The following is a 19,425-nucleotide window of genomic DNA, read 5'->3' on the forward strand; positions in this document are numbered from 1 at the left end:
ACCAATTATATATAGGCTTATATTTTCTCTATACTACATCTGCTAGCCCCAATTACAATGAATTATTGCCTAAATAGACCAAGTACATCATAAACCTAGATTGAAATCTTATGGAGAGGAGGTATTGAGAAATGGATGTCATCAAATCACTATTGATACATGCTCTTGACCAAAACCAAAAACATGTAACAAAATATTTATCAAGAGGAAAAAATGGCTTTCAGTGAAGGAAAATTAGTTTGTACGCTGCTTTTAATTTTTTAAAAGACTTTAGGACATCAATTTTCTGTATAAATATGTTAGTAAACTTTTTTCTGTATGCAAATATCTATTTTTGTAATGTATCTGTTTTACTGAAAGCAAATCGTATTCACTGCCTTTGTTATGTTTATTCAAAAATATAAGATAATATTTTAAATTATCCAGCTATTTTGACCAGTTGCTTCCTTATCCAAGGTCCATTTCTGTTTCTCCCTGCTTATAAGGATCGTCTGTTACTTCACCTCATGAATTATGTGTTAGCAGATAATTTAAGTGAAGGATCTTGAGAGCCGCAACAGACAGTGAACATCTGTCTTCATACATTTTCATTTAGTGCCTAAAAAAGGTTGCTGCCCTTTCCATTTTTCTGGAGACCATTGTGGGGATGAGAGGCCACACTATTCTAGTGAGCTAAATAGTAAAGATAGCCACTGTCAACAGAATCTGTCATGGCTCTTTACAACTCCTGGGAACAAGTTAGCTTGATTTGGCTATAAGCACAGTAAAGGGATGTTGTCCTTTTGTATTAAAGCCTGACCTGCTCTTTCCAGTTTTTGGCTGGGTCTGTGTAAGTGTAGTACTGACTTACAAGTCTGTGTGGAATGGGCAGCAAGTTATAAGGAATAGTTTCATTACTCCTCTCGGCTATATCGGAAACCAAATTACCAAGTGAATTCTCCACCCAGTAGGAAAGAAGAGACTGTCTGTCTTACTGGAGAATCCATTATTTAAGCACTGTTTTTAAGAGGACTGATGGCTGTGAGAATGAGGACATTAATGCTCTATCCAACTTAACAGTATTCATGTTGTATTACACAAAGCTTAGATTCTTCTCTGAGCTTTTATCCTGCTTTTAATATGTGAAAGGACTGCCATGATATATCTATGTATATTATGTTGTGTGTGTATATTATATGATAGAATAGAGAGTAAAATGGGCCTTTGGCCTGAGTATATTTTCTGATGCCAGAAATGATCAGAAGTCATTAATCTATTGCTGGTATTTTACTGACCTAAGTTAAAAGAAACTATTTTATTAACCAAGCTAATCATGATAAAACTCACTACCATGCACTACAAAGAGAAAAATACTCAAAGGAAACACACTTCTTTTTTAATTCTGAAAACAAATGTCAGATTATGCAGGTTCATACCTTCCGTGTTAGAAAAAAAAAACAATAAAAAGGTGCCCACTTTGTGGCTAAAGATAAATTTTATTTTTAAACAAGTTTTTATTGGTGTATAATACATGTAGATAGTTGTGGGATTCATTTGATAATTTAATATGTTTACACAATTTGGAAAGATCAAATCAGTATACTTGGGATACCCATCACCTGAAAAGGAGACAAATTTTAAATGGGAATAGAATGGGTATAGTGAAATGAGTGGCATAAAAAAGAAACTCTCATATGTATGTGAAATAATTTTCTTTTGACCAGTGTTTTCTTGAAGGCAGACCTATTTTCACTATTCATGATTTTCTCCTTGATACTGTTTTAAAATTTTTTCCCATGAACAATCTATATATAAATATTGTTTATATATTAAATTTTCAAAGAAGGTAAAGAGCTCTGCTATGTAATGACAACATTTTCTGAAAAAGATTTGGCTATAGTTGATCAAAACTTTTGACTCATTGAAAGGAACTGCTTTCTTTGCTGTTGCAATTTCTTTCTACCTCTTGGGCATAATTCTATGTTATGTGTCCCAGTTAAATCCCCAAGAATGAAATATCTTCAAAGAAAAATGAAGGCAAAAGATAGGGGCCAGGAGCAGGGACTTGAAGCTGGACATATAAATTGTTCTGAGATGTCAAATTAATTCTTTACTCATGAAAGTTACCCAGTTATCCACCCAAGACTCCAAGAGTCCTTTTATGTAGACAACACGATTGTGTTTGCCCTTCTGCTCCAGTCTTGACCTTCAGCAGTCTCTAAAGAGGAAAAGTGTTTGTTACAGACTCTTTTTGTTCTCTTCTGTTGTTTCACGCTCCCTAGTGGTTGTTCATGGTCATTCTTGTTTTCAGTTCCCTGTATATCAGTTGTAGTGAGAAGGAGAAGGAGGTGACTATTGTATTGTGAAATAAGGTTCACCGGATTCTTATATTTGAGTTGCATAAACTTTCTTAAAATAACTGATTCTTATATGCAGAATCAGAAGCAAAAATTTTTGTCCTGTTGTTCCTAGTGGACAATGATTCAAGAAAATGAGTCATGACTCAGCGATATGAATTCTCTTTTAGCCGGGGTTATTTTTAACTGCTGATGGGAATTCCATCTATCAAAATTCCACATTTAATTGTGGGTATGATCTCAGCTTGTGTTTGGAAGCCTTAAGCAATGCCACTCAGAATACTTTCTTTGTACATACTTGACAAGTAAGAGAGACTTACTGAGTCAGTGATTAAAATTCAGATGAAGGCCTTTGTCCTCTCTGGTACCCTCCTTGCCCCTACTCAAACCGTGTCATTAAGCTGAATTGGAAATACTGTTAACTCAAGCACATGAAGAGGGAACCATTGAGGAGATCCTGTTAATAATACGACTCTATAGAACTCCACATTTCTGTCATTCTCAGGTTTGCAATATTTTTTGAGTAAATGAGTTGCTGAAAAACACCTTGAAAAAGTAGTTTAGGTTTGTGCAGCCCTATTCTTTGAAGAAGAAAAGATACCTGGTTCTGCTTGCTCTTTCTAATGTCAGATCTTGGAAAATAAGCAACTTGAGCTGCTGGAATAAAGCAGGTGTCGTTCAGGATCAAGTGTTGCCTAGGATAGCTAGCCTGTTAGACAAGTTGCTAACTGATGTCCTGAATCCAATTCCAAAGATTACGGAGTACCTTTGAAAAATGTTGTAACAGCACTGTTGTGTAACTATTCGTAAATACTACCTTTAGTTTATATGAAGATTAGTAAAATGGGTATTCTTTCCATTTTTAAGATTCTGGTTTGTAACTTTTTTGCTAAAATACTTCAAGTGGGTTGTGTGTGCCTCTCGAGTCAGATCAGAGAAGGTAAGATGTCTGGGTCCCTACTTCAATCACTCTTCTTTCCAGGAATACCTGGAATATGAAGTTTCAGGTAAATAAGTGAAGTGAAATAACAAAGAGAAGTGATTTGTCAAAATGAGTGCAAGAAGAGCCACCAAAAATCTAGCTTGTGTGAGTACATAGAATTGAGTTTGTTCAGTCAAAGGACAAGGGAAGATGTGATAAGTCTATTAACAGGGAAGGATAATCATCTCCTGTGTACCAAGAGCTCATTTCGAAGAGTGTGTCCAGTATGATTATAGAATATTTCTTATCAGTATTTTCTCAAAGTATGGGAAACTAATCCCTCAAACAAAGGGAAATAGATTATTTCAATGCTTTCAACATGTGGTAGAGGAATTGCATCACACAGTATTTGGCCTGCTTTATTTATGAATCTCTATTGTACAGCTGAAATTTAAGGAGTTTTTTTATTAATTGAAATATTTTATCTTTCATATAGTTTGCCACATCAGCCAGGTTCAGTGGCTCATACTTGTAATCTCAACACTTTGGGAGGCTGAATCAGGAGGATTGCTTGAGGCCAGGCCTGGCAACATAGTGAGACCTCCCCTCTACAGAAAATTTAAAAATCAGCCAGGCATCGTGGCATGCACCTCTAGTCCCAGCTACTCAGAAGGCTGAGGTAAGAGGATTGCTTGAGCCCAGGAATCAAGACTGCAGTGAGCTATGGTCACATCACTGTACTCCCGCCTGGGTGACAGAGCAAAACCTTGTATCTTTAAAAAAAAAAAAGAAAGAAAGAAAGAAAAGAAAAGAAATCGCTATATACATCCTGATATTTTCCTTGAAGCATTTTTCCTCCACCTGAAGTCCAGTGAAATGTCACTGTAGTTTCCTGAAACAATAAATACGCTATTATATGAGTAGCATCATTTACTTGCTGGGGTATAATTGCTGAAATTTTGAAATATGCTTTTAGTATGTTAAGTTTTATTTATTTCCTTCCCCTATAAAAAACAGCACTTGGAAAATGATTGGTGATCAACTTTTAAAGATAATTTTTTAAAGTAGCTTTTTAAAATCAATTAAACACCTTACCATTCTCTTCTCATCTCTGAGAAATGGTATAGACCATTTTTATTAACCAAAAATATAGTATAAAGAAGAAACCCTAGGAGTTAACTGCTATCATTACAAGGAATGAAAACTAGTCTCCCTTGTAAACATTTTTTAGCTTATGCAAGATCAAAATGTACTAGGCAGAGGAAATTTATTGTAATATAAAAGGTAGAAGTCTAGTGGAAGTATAGCTGTTTGTCCCCAGTGCCTCAGTAGAACTGTTTAGGTCAACACTTGATGACACTGCTTTATTTTGGTTTTGTTTGGTTTTTTTAATGGAAGGGTATTTAAAACCAGAAGCCAGGCTTTCATCTGGTCTTTTTTAAAAGGAATATCCAAACAATGATTTACCTGTTTTTCTCAGAAGCTATCTTACTGTGAACAAATTGCAAAATGTATTTGACGGTGAAATTTTAATTATCAAGAAATAGTGAGCTTGAAGGGTGTGACTATTGCCATAAAGTGCTGTGATTTATGACAGCTTCCCAGTAGAAATTCTCCCAGTGTCAGAAATTATAAACCCATTTTCATTTTACTTTGTTCTTGAATTAAATATTTAAAGGTAGAATTTTTGTTTCTCTTTCCCCCTATCAGACCTGTGTGACGGGAGAATAGAAACTGTTTTAAGGCTCTTCAGATTTAGTTCAGATGTTGCTTATGTTACATTTTCTCTGATAGTCTGAAAAAATAAATTTTTAAATTTTAACGTTTGATCATAATATATAACAGGCTCCTACACATCAGTGAGAAAAAAGCAAGACTGGAATGCTCATTTTACAAAAGAGGTAATCCAGATGACCATTTAGTATATAACAAGGTGTGCAGCTATTGTTAGTCATCAGGGAAATGCAAATTTAAACCAAAATAGGATTACATACCCATCAAAACGTCTAAAATGAGAAAAAAGAAAATACCAAATGTTGATAAGTATCTGGAACAAAAATAGTTTTCATACCATATTGACGAGAGTGTAAACTTGTACAGTTACTTTGAACAGCTATTTGACAATATCTCCTAAAGCTGAACAATGCTCAGTGACCCAGCAATTACACTCCTATTTATGTACCCAATAGCAATGTATACCTAGGTTCATCAGAAGACCTGTACAAAAATGCTTTTAACAGCACTATTTATAACAGCTAAAAATTTGAAACTACCCAAATGCTCATCAGCAGTAGAATGAATAAATTGTGGTTTGCTTATAAAATGGAATTCTATACAGCAATGAAAAAGAACAAACCACTGCTTCATGTGACAGAATGCATGAACCTCACAAATGTATGTTGAGCATGAAAAGTCTCAAAAGAATACTCACTGAGTGATTCCATTTATATAGAGTTCAGACTGATCTAGGGTGATGGAAATCAGGATAGTGATTATCCTTATGGGGGTAATAACTGCCAAGGATACATAAGAGAGGCCTCTGGCTGCTGGTGATGTTCTGTGGTGGTGTTGTTTTCTGATTCAGATGCTGGTTACTAGCATGAATTACATTTGTGAAAACTTATTGACCTGTACATATGTTATTTGTACACTGCTCTTTTTTCTTTTTCTTTTTTTCTTGAGACAAGGTCTTTCTCTGTCAACCAGGGTGGAGTGCAATGGCCCAACTAATCATAGCTCATTGTAACCTCAAACCCCTTGGCTCAAGTGATTCTCCCACCTCTCAGCCTTCTGAGTAGCTGGGACTATAGGTGCACACGACTACACCTGGCTAATTTTTAAAATTATTTTTTTGTAAAGATGGGGTCTTGCTATCTTGCCCAAACTGGTCTTAAACTCCTGGCCTCAAGCAGCCCTCCCATCTTGGCCTCCCAAAGGGCTGGGATTACAGGCATGAGCTACCACGCCCAGCCTGTACACTTTTCTACATGTATGTTATACTTCAGTAAAAAGTTCAAGGAAAATATTCCTATTATAAGCGCTCCAGTTTGCAAACAAACAAAACAAAAACAAAAAACTCTAGGCAACTTCCAAGTTGATGGAAGTGATGTTCTGTAAAAGTCCTTTTTTGTTTATGGAGAATGTGAGCAGGACACCAGGTTTCTTTCTTTTCTTTTTGGTTTTTTTTTTTTTTGAGATGGAGTCTCGCTCTCGCCCAGGCTGGAGTGCAGTGGCGCGATCTCGGCTCACTGCAAGCTCCGCCTCCTGGGTTCATGCCATTCTCCTGCCTCAGCCTCCCAAGTAGCTGGGACTACAGGTGCCTGCCACCATGCCTGGCTAATTTTTTGTATTTTTAGTGGAGACGGGCTTTCAACGTGTTAGCCAGGATGATCTTGATCTCCTGACCTCGTGATCCACCTGCCTCGGCCTCCCAAAGTGCTGGGATTACAGGCCTGAGCCACCGCGCCCGGCCCGACACCAGGTTTATTTTCATGTTGAAAGTTCTCCAGTCTGGCCGGACGCCGTGGCTCACGCCTGTAATTCCAGCATTTTGGGAGGCTGAGGCGGGCAGATCACCAGGTCAGGAGATCGAGACCGTCCTGGCCAACATGGTGAAACCCTGTCTCTACTTTAAAAAAAAAAAAAAAAAAAAGCCAGGCATGGTGGCGCGCGCCTGTAGTCCCAGCTACTCGGGAGGCTGAGGCAGGGGAATCACTTGAACCCGGAGGCAGAGGTTGAAGTGAGCTGAGATTGTGCCACTGCACTCCAGCCTGGCGACAGAGTGAGACTTGGTCTCCAAATAAAATAAAGAAAGTTCACCAGTCTATGTGTGCCATCAAGGACTTTACATTTGGGGTCATTGAATAGGTTAGATGAGGAAAGCATTTGGGAAACTAGGCTTGTGGATGTATCCTCAAAACAAAATTTCATCATGTAAATAATAGAATTTCTAGGCTTTCTAAAGCTCTGAGCTTACTGTATAAAAACACTAATCTAGTCATACCTTAATTGAAAATATTTTATAATAGTAATATATATAAAAAGATATATATGTACTCGTACTTAACACATTAACTTTTACATATAGTTACTAAAGAGTTGATGATACAAATTTAATAAGAATTTTCCATACTTTGGCTTTAATATAATTTTGCTTTAAAAATATGTATTTGGACTTTTAAAGGATGTGTAATTCCTTGTTATATTGGACGAAAAATAACAGCTTTTTCATCATTGTGAAATGTGAAAATATCCAATACAACAAATGGAAGACGCCTAATAAATGTTAATATCCTTCTTTGTCTTTACAAAACTACAAACATGACATACTCTTGAACATGCCCGTCTTATCTTCTCAGATTAAGCTCTGCCACCTGTGCTGTTCTTCCTGTTCTGAACCATTAAAACACATGTGTTTAGTTTTATTTCTGGATTCTTCTAGAGCAATCTTCTTCACTAGTTCTTTCATATCACTTGTTTTACTCAAACTTGATGTTTTAATGTTAGCATATTATTTATTTGTTGCTGTGTAAAAAGTTACCACAAACTTGGCAAGTGAAAACAGCATTCATTTACCCTGTCCCCCAGCCTTCTCTCTCTCTTTCTCTGTTGAGACAGGGTCTCACTTTGTCACCCAGGCTGGAGTGTGCAGTGGCATGATCATGGCTCACTGCAGCCTCAACCTCCTGGGTTCAAGCGATCCTCTCGCCTCAGCCCCCCGAGTAGCTGGAACTACAACTGCGTGTCACCACACCTGGCTAATTTTTTGTTTTGTTTTGTTTTGTTTTTGTAGAGACAGGGTTTCGCCATGATGCTCATCTTGGTCTCAAACTCCTGAGTTCAGGCAGTCCGCCTGCCTTGACCTCCCAAAGTGCTGGGATTACAGGTGTGAGCCACCACTCCCAGCCTATTTCAATTTCTATACATCAGAAGTCTAGGGAGAGTGCAGCTGGTTCTCTGCTCAGGGCCAAAACAAACATATCAGCCAGACCACACTCGTATCTGGAGCTCAGAGTCCTCTTTCAAACTTGTTCAGGTTGTCAGCAGGATTCAGTTTCTTGCAGTGGTAGGACTGAGATCCCTGTTTTTTGGCTTGCTGTTGGCAAGGAGTCACTCCTAGCTTCTAGAGGCCACTGTTATGTCCCATTTCCATGGCCCCCTTACTACTTGGCGCTTACTTTTTCAAAGCCAGTGAGAGAATCTTACTCTGGTTGGATGTATTAGTTCATTCTTGCATTGCTACAAAGAAATACCTGAGACTGGGTAATTTATAAAGAAAAGAGGTTTAATTGGCTCATAGTTCTGCAGGCTGTACAGGAAGCATGGCATCATCTGCTTCTGGGGAAGTCTCAGAGAGCTTTTATTCATGACAGAAGGCAAAACGAGATCAGGCTTCTTACATGCAGGCAGGAGCAGGACTTGGGTGGGGGAGATGCTACACACTTTTAAACAACCAGATCTCATGAGAACTCACTATCCTGATGACAGGACCAAGGTTGCATGGTGTTAAACCATGAGAAACTGCCCCCATGATCCAGTCACCTCCCACCAGGCTCCATTTCCCGCATTAGGGATTATAATTTGACATGAGATTTGGGCAGGGATACAGATCCAAACCATATCATTCCACCCTTGGCCCCTTCCAAATCTCATGTTCTTCTCACATTTCAAAATACAGTCATGCCTTCCCAACAGTCCTTGAAGTCTTGACTCATTCCAGTATTAACTCAAAAGTCCAAAACCCAAAGTATCATCTTAGAGAAGGCTAGTCCCTTTTGCCTATGAGCCTGTAAAGTCAAACACAAGTTAGTTACTTCCAAGATACAATGAAAGTATAGGCATTGGGCTGTAATCCCAGCACTTTGGGAGGCCAAGGTGGGCGGATCACGAGGTCAGGAGATCAAGACCATCCTGGCTAACACAGTGAAACCCCGTCTCTACTAAAAATACAAAAAATTAGCCAGGTGTGGTGGCGCGGCTGTAGTCCCAGCTACTTGGGAGGCTGAGGCAGAAGAGTGGCGTGAACCCGTGAGGCAGAGCTTGCAGTGAGCCAAGATTGTGCCACTGCACTCCAGCCTGGATGACAGAGCGAGACTCTATCTCAAGGAAAAAAAAAAAAAAAAAGTGTAGGCATTGGGTAAATACTCCCATTCCAAAAGGGAGAAATTGGCCAAAAGAAAGCGGCTACAGGCCCCATACAAGTCTGAAACCCAGCAGAGCAGCCATTAGCCCTTTTCCCATTTAGAAAACAAAAAGTGCAGCTCGCTGCCAGTGCTCATTTAATTTTACATAAACATACTCTTTGAGGCTGAAGCAAATCTGACTGATTTTCAGTGTGAAAACAAAATATAAAAACTGTTCTTGGAGTTATTTCTAAATAGAACTAACATCAGAATCATCTGAATCATCAGAATTGTCTATTTCAGAAAAATTGAATTCATCAAAGGAATCTTTGGCCAACAACTGTTCCAGAATGATGTTAACATCACACATAGGAATGCTATGTTTTCTAGGATTTGACATTTTTAGCAATCGAGAATTACTATATTTTGTAAGTGGAAATACCACTACTAAAAACAGAATGCTATAAATAGAATGATGTCTTTTGTTTTCAAAGTTGATATACTAGAGCAGTGTGAAAATAATAATAAAAATGAGATGTTTTGTGGCAAAGTTATCTTGGGGTAAATGCTGAAACTGCAAGCTTTGCCAGCAAGTATTCTTGGGGCAAACAGGAGAAGAATTAAATCTTAAGGCTCCAAAATAATCTCCTTTGACTCCATTTCCTACATCCAGGACACACTGATGTGAGAGGTGGGCTCCCAAGGCCTTGGGCAATCCATTCCTGTGGGCCTTTCAGAGGTCAGCCCATGTGCTGTTCTCTTGGGCTGTTATTGAGTGCTGGCAGTTTTTCCAGGTGCAGGGTGCAAGCTCTTGGTGGCTCTACCATTCTAGAGTCTGTAGGATGGTGGCCCTCTTCTTACAGCTCCACTAGGTAGTGCCCCAGTGGGGATTATTTGTGGTGGCTCCAACCCCACATTTGTCCTCTGCATTGCCCTAGTAGAGGTTCTCCATGAGGGCTCTGGCCCTGCATTAGGCTTCTGTCTGGACATCCAGGCTTTTCCGTACATTCTCTGAAATCTAGGCAGAGGCTCCCAAGCCTCAGCTCTTGCACTCTGTGTACCCACAGGCTTAACACCATGTATTTAAGGCTTTCAGCTTGTACTGTCTGAAGCAGCAGCCTAAGCTGTACCTGGGTCCCTTTGAGCCATGGCTGGAGTTAGACAGCTGGGACACAGAGAGCAGTGTCCTGAGGCTGCATGGGGCAGCAGACCCTGGGCCTGGCCCACAGAACCATTTTGTTTTCTTGGGCTTACAGGCCTGTGATGGGAGGGGCTGCTGCCAAGGTCTCAGAAATGCCTGCAAGGCCTTTTCCCTAGTGTCTTGGCTATCAGTACTTGGCACCTTTTTACTTATGCAAATTTCTGCAACCTGCTTGAATTCCTCCCCTGAAAATGGGCTCTTCTCTTCTACCACATGGCCAGGCTGCAAATTTTTCAAGCTTTTACTGTCCATTTCCCCTTTAAATATAAGTTCCAGTTTTACGTCATGTCTTTGCTCATGCGTATGAGCATAGGTTGTTAGAAGCAGCCAGGCTACATCTTGATTACTTTGATGCTTAGAGATTTCTTCTGCCAGATATACTAAATCATCACGCTCAAGTTCAAAATTCCGTAGATCCCTAGGACAGGGGCAGAAGGCCACCAGGTTCTTTGCTAATGCATAACAAAAGTGACCTTTGCTCCAGTACCCAATAAGTTCCTCATCTCCATCTGAGACCTCTTCAGCCTGGACTTCACTGTTTATATCACTATCAGTATTTTGGTCACAACCATTTAACCAGTCTCTAGGGAGTTCCAAATTTTCCCTCATCTTCCTGTCTTCTTCTCAACCCTCCACACTCTTCCAGCTTCTACCAGTTACCAAATTCCAAAGCTTCTTACATATTTTAAGGTATCTTTATAGCAGTGCCCAACTCTTCAGTACTAATTTTTTGGCTATGATGTAATCCAGTATAACACAACTGTAATCATGATAGTGACTATACGTCACCTTGGCCATGTAATGTAACCTAATCAGTGGAGTGGCTATCCCATCATATTACAGATTCCAGGCCCCTGAGGGTAGAGAATTATACAAGGGTGTGGTGGCTCATGCCTGTAGTCCCAGCTGCTCAGGAGGCTGAGGTGGGTGGATCACTGGAGCCCAGGAGGTCAAGGCTACAGGGTGAGCCAAGATTGTGCCACTGCACTCCAGCTTGGGTGACAAAAATGAAACCCTGTCCAAAAAAAAAAGAAGAAGGAAGATACATTTTCAAATTACAAATTTTTTTCAGTAAAAGAGACTACACACATCAGCTACTTTTATACCACCTAGCAATGACACATCATGAAAGGACAATTACAGGGAGTTTTACTCATTATTATAGTTCCAGAAATCCTAAAAAAAATATTAGCAAATGGAATAATACATTATGACTAAAGTTGGGTTTATAACACAAAATGCAAAGTAGATTTAATATTAGAAAGTTAGAATAGTTTACCATTAATGAACTAAAGGAGAAAAATCTTAAAATCATCTCGATTGAGCAAAAATGACATTTAATAAAATTTAACAACTATTCATAAGAACTCTTAGCAAAACAACAATAGAAAAGAATTTCTTTACTCTGATTAGTGATATCTACAAAAACCCATCGACAAATATATGTAATGGTGAAAAGCTTTCCCTTTTAGATGAGGACCAAGGCTGGGATGTCCATTATTATCCTTGCTATTCCACATTGTATTGGAGGTCTCAATCAATACAGTAATCAATACAGTAAGGTCTCAATCAATACAAGAAAATATGTAAGGATTAGAAAATTAAAACTTCACAAGTGATGTGATCATTTAGAAAATCCAGTAAAAACTTTACAGGCATTGAGTTTAGCAAGTTGCTAGATAACAAGATCCATAAACAAAACCTAATTGCATTTCCATAGATCAACAATAAACTGAAAGCAAATTTTTTGAGATACTGTTTACAATAACAAAATGTAATAACCTAGGAGTAAATCTTTTAAAAGATGTGTAAAACATCTAAAAAGTAAACTATAAAGCTTTATTAGGAGAAATTTAAGAATAATCTAAAGTAGATATATACTACGTTTCTGGAGTTGGAAAACTGGTTTGTATGGTGTTAACTTTTACCCTAAATTCCTTTATAGATTCAATGTAATTCCAGTTTTAAAAATCTTGTGAAGCCTGGGCAACATGATAAGCCCCATCTCTACAAAAAATTTGAAAATTAGCTGGGCGTGGTGGCACATGCCTGTGGTCCCAGCTACTTGGGAGACTGAAGCAGGGAGGATCACTTGAGCCAGGAATTCTAGATTGCAGCGAGCTGTGATCACACCCCTGCACTCCAGCCTGGGTGACAGAGCAAGACCCTGTCTGTCTGTCTTTCTCTCTTTCTTTCTAGGTATCTATATATTTGTATATATTAGGATAGCCAAAAACTCTTTTAGAAACCTAATTTAGGAGGACTTGCTCTGTCAGCTATTAAGGCTCTTTATAAAACTATATTAATTGAGACAAAGTGGTATTAGTGTTAGAAATAGACCAATGGAACAGAATAAAGAGTCCAAAAACAGACCTGTGCATATATGTACATTTTACTTATGATAAAATTGACACTGCAGAGTGGTGGGGAAATTAAGATCTTTTCAATAAATGATCCTGGCTCATCTGGAGATCCATATGGAAAAATAAAGTGGAAGTGGATTATTTCTTAACAATTTACATAAAAATGAATTCCATCTAAATTGTAGACCTACGTGTAAAACACCAAATAGTAATAATACCACTTTTAGAATATATTATAGCATCTTCATGACCTGAGGATAAAGAAGTAATTATTAAATCAAATAGAAAAAGCACCAATTATAAAGAAGAAAAAGGTGATAATGTTTATTAATATTAATAACTTCTGTTTGTCAAAAGACACTACTGAAAGTGCAAAAAGTCAAGCTATATAAACCAACAAAGAAATTATACCAGAATATTTCAAGCATCCCGACAAATTGAGAAAGACAAAGCCCAATAGAAAAATGGGCAGAGACTTAATAGGCACTTCACAAAAGAATATAACCAAATGGCTGTATACATTTAAAGAGGTGCTCAGCCTTATCAAGGAATCCCAAGTTAAAACCACAACAATGGGGCCAGGCGCGGTGGCTCACGCCTGTAATCCCAGCACTTTGGGAGGCCGAGGCAGGTGGATTACGAGGTCAGGAGTTCAAGATCAGCCTGGCCAGGATGGCGAAACCCCATCTCTACTGAAAATACAAAAAATTAGCCGGGATGGTGGCGGGCACCTGTAATCCCAGCTACCTGGGAGGCTGAGGCAGAGAATCGCTTGAACCCGGGAGGCAGAGGCTGCAGTGAGCCGAGATTGTGCCACTGCACTCCTCCAGCCTGGGTAACAGAGCAAGACTCTGTCTCAAAAAAAAAAAAAAAAAAACCCACAAGATACCCCCACATAATCTCCAGATTGGCTAAGATTTAAAATCAGATGATACTAAAGTTGTCAAGCATATAGAGCAATGGGAACTCCTACATTGCTAGTGGGAGTAAAAACTTGTACAGTTTCATTGGAGAACACTTTAGCATTATCTAATAAAATTGAAAGTAATGCTAACCCAACATAAATACATGCTTATGTACATGAGGATGCATGTACAAGAATAAACAAGCATCCATAATGGCCCCAAAATGGATACAACCTGGAAAAAAATCAGTAAAATGAGTTTTAAAAAAGTGACATCATCATGTAGTAAAATGAACAAACTACAGTGACACACAGCAACATTAATAAATCTTTAAAATATAATATTTAGTAAATCAAACTAAAAAGTATATCTTCTTATACTATTTATATAAAATTCAAGAAAAGGAAAAAGAAAACATGTTGAGATATGCACATTTCAGTGCTAAAACTAAATAAAAGCAAGGAATGTTTACCCCGGAAATAGGTATAGTGGTTATCTATAGGGTGAAAGGAATTGGGATCAGGATGGAGTATTTGGGGAATCATTTGTTGCAGACAATGTTCTAATTCTTGCTATGGCGGTATTATAATTCATTAAACTCTACATTTATGTTTTATGCTATTCTCTGTGGGGCATCATATTTCACAATAAAATAAAGGCATATATTGAAGACATTTTTATTTCATCATATCTATACTTGTTATCCTTAAAGGCTGCATCTTATTCCATTGTAGATTTATCTGTTCCCCTCCTTTTGAATAGTTGGAGTGTTTTTGTTTTTTGCAGTTGCCAACTTTGAGTTAAGCATCTTTGTACATATATCTGTGTTCATTTGCTTGTGCTGGTATTTCTGTAGGATTGGTTTCCAGAAATAGAATCAAAAGATAATTTGCATTTCATATTTTGATAGATGCTGTTAAATAGCCTTGCAAATTTGTTCAGCCTGTCTTTTGCTATTTGAAGCTTTTAATTTTTTATTGTTCAATCTGTCTCTCTTTTCCATTGTAATTTCTCGCTTTTGTGTCATGCTTAGAAAGCCTTTTTCAACTTCAGTTTATGTCTTTATCCGGAATTTATTTTTGGTTATGTGAAATGAGATTTTTTTTCAGCCATATAGCTAGTTGTTTCAGTGCTTTTTTTTTTTTCGAATGGTCAGTTCTTTGCACAGTGATGTAAAAGCTACCCTTTATCATCAGCTAAATGTCTATATGTCTTTTTCTACTCTACTGATCTATTTCTATATCAATGTCACAGTATTTTAATGATTATAGATTTTAATGTTTTTCTCTTACTGATATAGGGAATTCTAATTAGTTTTTCCTTTCAAAAGGTATTTGGCCTTTTATTCATGTACTTACTTTTCCAAATGAATGGTAGTATCAAGTCCCTCTGTACTCTCAGCCAAAAACAAAAAACAAAAAACATGTGTTGACATTTCAGTTGGAATTACAATGAATGTATAGATTATTTGGGAGATAATTTACTTTCATACACATTTTTAAATTTTAGTCATTTTTAACTTTATATAAAGAGCATGTTTTATATATTCTTTTGAACTTTTTCCATGTAAATATTATATTACTCATATCTCTCCATATTTTTGCTATAGTTTATTTGACTACTGTATAATTTTTACATTGTTTGAATATAACAACAAATTTAGATTAAGAGTTGTGGTTGGGGTTGGTATTCAAGTTCAGTCTCTTATTGAAGTATATTTTTTAAACAAAAAACAAGGCCAGGTGTGGTGCCTCACACCTGTAATCCCAGCACTTTGGGAAGCTAAGGAAGGCGGATCACTGGAGGTCAGGAGTTCAAGACCAGCCTGGCCAATGTGGCAAAACCCAGTCTCTACTAAAAATAAGAAAATTAGCCAGGCGTGGTGGCATGTGCCTGTAATTCCAGCTACTCAGGAGACCAAGGCACAAGAATTGCTTGAACCTGGGAGGCGGAGGTTGCAGTAAGCCGAGAAGGCGCCACTGTTCTCCAGCCTCCGTGACAGAGTGAGACTCTGTCTCCTAAAAAAAAAAAAAAAAAAAAAAAAAAAAAGGAAAGGAAACAAACAAGAAGTATTGACTATAAAAGACTGGTGGGGTTGGCCATTATATTAAAATTATAAACTTCTGTCCATCTATAGACTTTAAGTAAAGAAGGTAAAAAGACCAGTTAGAAACTGAGAAATGATATTCACAAGACCCACAATTTTTCACAGGATTACTATCAAGGACATACAAAGAACTGCTATCTATTAATAGGCTGAGCATGACCAACTCAATAGAAAAGTGGGCAAGAGATATAAAGAAGACTTTCACAAAAGCATAACATATATACCCATAGACTTATGAAAAATGTTCGGTATTACTGGTAGTCAGGATATGCAAAATCAACCATCTTATCTTCATTCCATGAGAAACACTAAAAATTCTGACAATACCAAGTATTAATATTGAGCAGAATGTAGATGACTCAGGATTTCATATATCCTGCTGGTGGGAAAAAGTTTGGCATTGCTGAAGTTGAACATTTATATACCCTAAGCCCAGAGATTCTATTCCTATGTATATACCAAAGAGGAATTCCTACAAAGGATAAAAGAAGACATTTGCAAGGATGTTCACAGCAGCACTGACACCAATAGCAAAACTCTTAACAAAGGAAATACAATATACTTCAATAAGAGACTGAACCTGAATACCAACCCCAACCGCAACTCTTAATCTAAATTTGTTGTTATATTCAAACAATGTAAAAATTATACAGTAGTCAAATAAACTACAGCAAAAATATGGAGAGATATGAGTAATATAATATTTAAATGGAAAAAGTTCAAAAGAATATATAAAACATGCTCTTTATGTAAAGTTAAAAATGACTAAAATTTAAAAATGTGTATGAAAGTAAATTGTCTCCCAAATAATCTATACATTCGTTGTAATTCCAACTGAAATGTCAACACGTTTTTTGTTTTTTGTTTTTGGCTGGGAGTACAGAGGGACTTGATACTACCATTCATTTGGAAAAGTAAATACATTAATAAAAGGCCAAATACAGGATTTTGTCAGTTGCCTTTTCAGCATGTACTGATATAATCATTTTGTTTTTACCTTTTAATCTCTTAATACAGTGTCATAATGATGTTGTATTAAAATATTTATTCATTTCTCCCAAGTCACAAAAGTAAAGCCAGGAAACTTAAATATAGCAGGTCATTGAAAATACAAATTTGTTCTTTGCAGTATTCTTAAAGCCTTAGAATTTTTTGTGTTTTGTCATCCAGCATACCGACCTTGTGCTCATCTTTTTACTCTGCTTATCTACTTTCATTTTACAAAACATCATTTTGGAATTTCCCAAGATACTTAAATTTTTATTATTTATTAACTATGTGCAGAAAAACTTGGGGTCTCTCTTCATGCCAGCTAATTACACTACTGCTGTAAAATGAAGATGCAATTAGGGAAAGCAAGGCAGCAACTTACTACCATTTATTCTATGCTGTAGTCAGATGATGATGGTGAACTCTGATTTTGTTATAAATGACTGTAGATCTTTGATAAACCTTTGATGTTACTGTTGTTGAATTAATTTCTCCTGTCTTACAGCGGCCTCTGTTGACCCCAAACCTTAAGATCTTTTTAGCGTATGAGACCTTAATAAATGATAGAAGAAGAAAAAAAATTGTGTTTGCAATTTTGTGATTTTTTTAACATATGGACTCACAGATTATATAAGCTTCAGGTCCCACAACACATGAGTCTGCCTCTGGGTGTAAGGGGTGAAGAGTGGGGGTTTTATTTACCCCAGTTCTTGCCCACAATTGTGCTATCACTGCTAGAAAGCTGATCTCTATGATGGGGAGCCAATCGTTGTTTACTTTACTTTCAGTAATTAAAGTTAATTTAATCTACTTGATTAAAATTTTATCTCATATCCTATTTAACTCCACCCCCAACCCCACCATGGAGTAGGAGATAGCCAGCCAGTTCTTTCACTCCTCCACCCCTGCTCTACCCTCTTCAACTTCTAACCCTTCTGGCATTGGAGTAGGGAGACAGGATTGGAGAAAAGGTGTTCTGGTCTGATGCCACAGTTTTTACTTAGCCAGACATGAAATTACAAGCCCCTGTTGGTTATTGTTGCTTCTCTAGCTAACATTGGCCGTGAATTTGAATGCCTTCTGCGTGTGTTCCAGTGCTGGTTCTGTTACAGGTAGAAGGGTGCAAACTCTTCAGAGGGGCCCATAGGAAGCTTCCCTACTGAATAGTTCTTTGGTGTTGGAGATCCAGCATCCACGATATAGACCTGGTTCTCTTTTTTGGTGTCTACTTAGCTCATAGTAATCAACTATATCTTTCCTTTGCATTCTTGTTCTTCCAGTCAGCAAGGTTACAGGCTGCTCCACTGCAGCACCTTGTTCAGGGTTTTATTTTACCAGGGCTGCTATAACAAAGAACCACTGACTGGGTGGCTTAGACAACAGAAATGTATTGTTTCACAGTTCTGGAAGTTAGAAGGTGTCAACGGGGTTGTTTCCTTCTGAGGGCTGTGAGAACGAATCTGTTGCATGCCTTTTCACCTCGCTTCCAGTGGGTTGCTGGCAATGTTTGGTGTTCCTTGGTTTGTAGGTATGGGTGGGAAGAAAATAATAGAGTTTTATCCCTTTGGTTTTTATCTGAAATAAGGAAAAGTGTACTTCACTAATATTTGCTTTATAGATTTGGAGCCCATGTATGTCATTTATGAATAAATATACTAGAGATATGAAGTTAAATTTTCTATTGATATAATATTTAAGAAGTATAGACCATGAGCTTCTTGAGAACAAATCTTTTTCTAATTTGTCTCTATATTCCACAAATGTGATGTATTTTATTGTAATGTTAATGAATTTCTGAGGTAGATAATAATGTAGTTCTGTAAAATAGTTCTGCCATTTAAACTCATTTAAGATCAAATAGGGCATGCTTTACATATCTGTTGATGCAACTGTTTTGTCCAACTACAGCCGAATTTACAACAGATTCAAATACTAACCAGAAGGAAATTAATGAGTTGATTGTGGTATTTTTTTTTCAATCAGAAGTGTTTTCTGGATACATCTAGATACAGTGTTGTAACAATCCAGGTGATAAATGTATTGAACATTTTTTATAATTGTGGTTTTTAATGTAAAAAAAGAAAGGTATGAAAACCCTTGACTTTTTTTTGAGTTGCCAAAACATTTCTGTAATAATGTATACATTCTCCATAGCTATTAGTACCCGTTAGCTTTTTTTAATTGAACAGTTGGCCCTTCATATCTCTGGGTTCTGCATATGTGTGGATTCAACCAACCATGGATCAAAAATATTCTTAAAAAAATTGCATCTGTACTGAACATGTACAGACTTTTGTTCTCATCACTATTCCCTAAACTAGTGCTCCCCAGCCTTTTTGGCACCAGGGTCTGGTTTCATGGAAGATTTTTCCATGGACAGGAGGGAGTCGGGGGTGGGGGTTGGTTTTGGCATGATTCAAGCACATTACACTTACTGTGCATTTTATTTCTATTATTATTACATTGTAATATATAATGA

At 37.4% G+C, this 19,425-nt stretch overlaps 1 protein-coding gene across 13 annotated transcripts in view, besides 1 other annotated feature; it reads left to right on the forward strand.

Moving 5' to 3' along the window:
• The window catches only part of RASAL2 (RAS protein activator like 2), a 384,747-nt gene that overhangs the window by 248,265 nt on the left and 117,057 nt on the right, over nucleotides 1-19,425 (forward strand). The gene's annotated exons all lie outside the window — the stretch shown is intronic.
• Nucleotides 2,423-2,991: an enhancer, noted in NCBI's record as "NANOG hESC enhancer chr1:178313926-178314494 (GRCh37/hg19 assembly coordinates)". NCBI's record gives its function as "activates a minimal SCP1, AML or CMV promoter by ChIP-STARR-seq in primed H9 embryonic stem cells {active_cell/tissue: H9 hESC(primed)}" and the evidence as "EXISTENCE:reporter gene assay evidence [ECO:0000049][PMID:30033119]".

Source organism: Homo sapiens, chromosome 1 (assembly GCF_000001405.40).
Source record: "Homo sapiens chromosome 1, GRCh38.p14 Primary Assembly".
Taxonomy (NCBI): domain Eukaryota; kingdom Metazoa; phylum Chordata; class Mammalia; order Primates; family Hominidae; genus Homo; species Homo sapiens.